Below are 1,554 nucleotides of genomic sequence, written 5' to 3'. Positions count from 1 at the left end.
TCAGGACTAGGAAAACCAGTTTCCTGAAATCTCTAGATCTGGTCAACAGTTTGTTTACAAGCCAGAACACAGACATTCACCGAGAAAACTGGGCTTTAGACCACTAATTCACTCCCAGGGAAATGCAGCACAAAGGAGAAACCACTGATTAGGGCCTGGTGGCTCCAGGAGGACTAGGGTCCAACCAGAGTGTTCTGAAGGCTATAGTGCCAACCCCTCAAGGGCAGTGACCACAAGCCAGGGCTAAGTGGTGCTGTATGAAGAGCAGGTGAGCAGCCAAGCAGAGTTGACACACTCTCCATGGAAGCTATTCCTTTCATTTTCTCCTCAATCTGTGAACATTTCCAATGTTTCCTTCATCCTCTGGTTACTAACATGCCTCAGACTCTCTTATAATCCCACCCCCCAAAATTCCTAAATTTCTCTCACCTTGAACTGCTGGCACTCATTTTTCCTTTTACTACCAAAATTCTCAAAAAAAGAGATATCTACACTCCATGTTTCTCCACTTCCTCATAACTCTCTCATTCTGTGACTTTCTCTGATGCTTCTTAACTGAAATTGCTGCCAAAGATGACCGTGACTTCACCAAGTTCCCAAATCAACCATCTCCAATTCATTCTTATCCTTCTTGACATTTTGTTAGCGTTTGACACCGATGACCACTGTTATCACTTCCTTTTTGACCTCAGGGATTTCTCAGTAACTTGATTTCCTATCCCTGGGGCCTTTCTCTATTTCCTTCTCCGAGTAATTTCTCTCCCACTGCTTGCCGACCTCACTGAGTGGGACAGTATACTCCAGTGGTCACAAGTCTGCACTTGGCAGTGCTCAAACCAGTGCCTGGCACATTGTGAGCAATAGAAAGATGTAAACTTACAAGGAAAGAATCTACCCCCTCTGGGCCCTCCCTCCTCAGTGCTCTCATCTACCTAAGGGTTTCCCCCACCTCGCTCGGCAACCCCTTCCACTGCAGTGCTGGAATCTGTTAATGCAGGAGAGGCATGTTTCCTCCATGGATCTGACAACTCCAAGGGGAGGAAACCCATCTTTCTCACTTTTGTAGCCCCAGTGAGTAGCACAGTGTAGACTACCAGAGAGTCTCATGTTTTTGCTTGCTTGTTTGTAGGAAAAATGAAATAACTCAGTGTGGGTAACCTAAATGTCTGTCTCCAGGAGGTCTTTGCTTTTTTTTTTTTTTTTTTTTTGAGACAGAGCTTTGCTCTTGTTGCCCAGACTGGAGTGCAATGGCGTGATCTCAGCTCACTGCAACCTCTGCACCCAGGTTCAAGTGATTCTCCTGCCTCAGCCTCCCAAGTAGCTGGGATTACAGGCACCCGCCACTACGCCTGCCCAACTTTCATATTTTTGGTAGAGATGGGGTTCCACCATATTGCCAAGGCTGGTCTCAAACTCCTGACCTCAGGTGATCCACCCCGCTTGGCATCCCAAAGTGCTGGGATTACAGGCGTGAGCCACCATGTCCAGCTGAGCCCTTTGGTTTTAAAGCTGCAGATTAATGTCTCTGCTGGCCTGCTGGACATTTTCACATAA

At 46.9% G+C, this 1,554-nt stretch overlaps 1 annotated feature.

Annotated features, from left to right (window-relative positions):
• Positions 1,053-1,554: an enhancer, noted in NCBI's record as "H3K4me1 hESC enhancer chr4:153628279-153628780 (GRCh37/hg19 assembly coordinates)". NCBI's record gives its function as "activates a minimal SCP1, AML or CMV promoter by ChIP-STARR-seq in primed H9 embryonic stem cells {active_cell/tissue: H9 hESC(primed)}" and the evidence as "EXISTENCE:reporter gene assay evidence [ECO:0000049][PMID:30033119]".

Source organism: Homo sapiens, chromosome 4, assembly GCF_000001405.40.
Source record: "Homo sapiens chromosome 4, GRCh38.p14 Primary Assembly".
Lineage (NCBI taxonomy): Eukaryota > Metazoa > Chordata > Mammalia > Primates > Hominidae > Homo > Homo sapiens.
The sequence above is the reverse complement of the archived record's forward strand: the minus strand, read 5'-3'. Positions and strand labels throughout refer to the sequence as shown.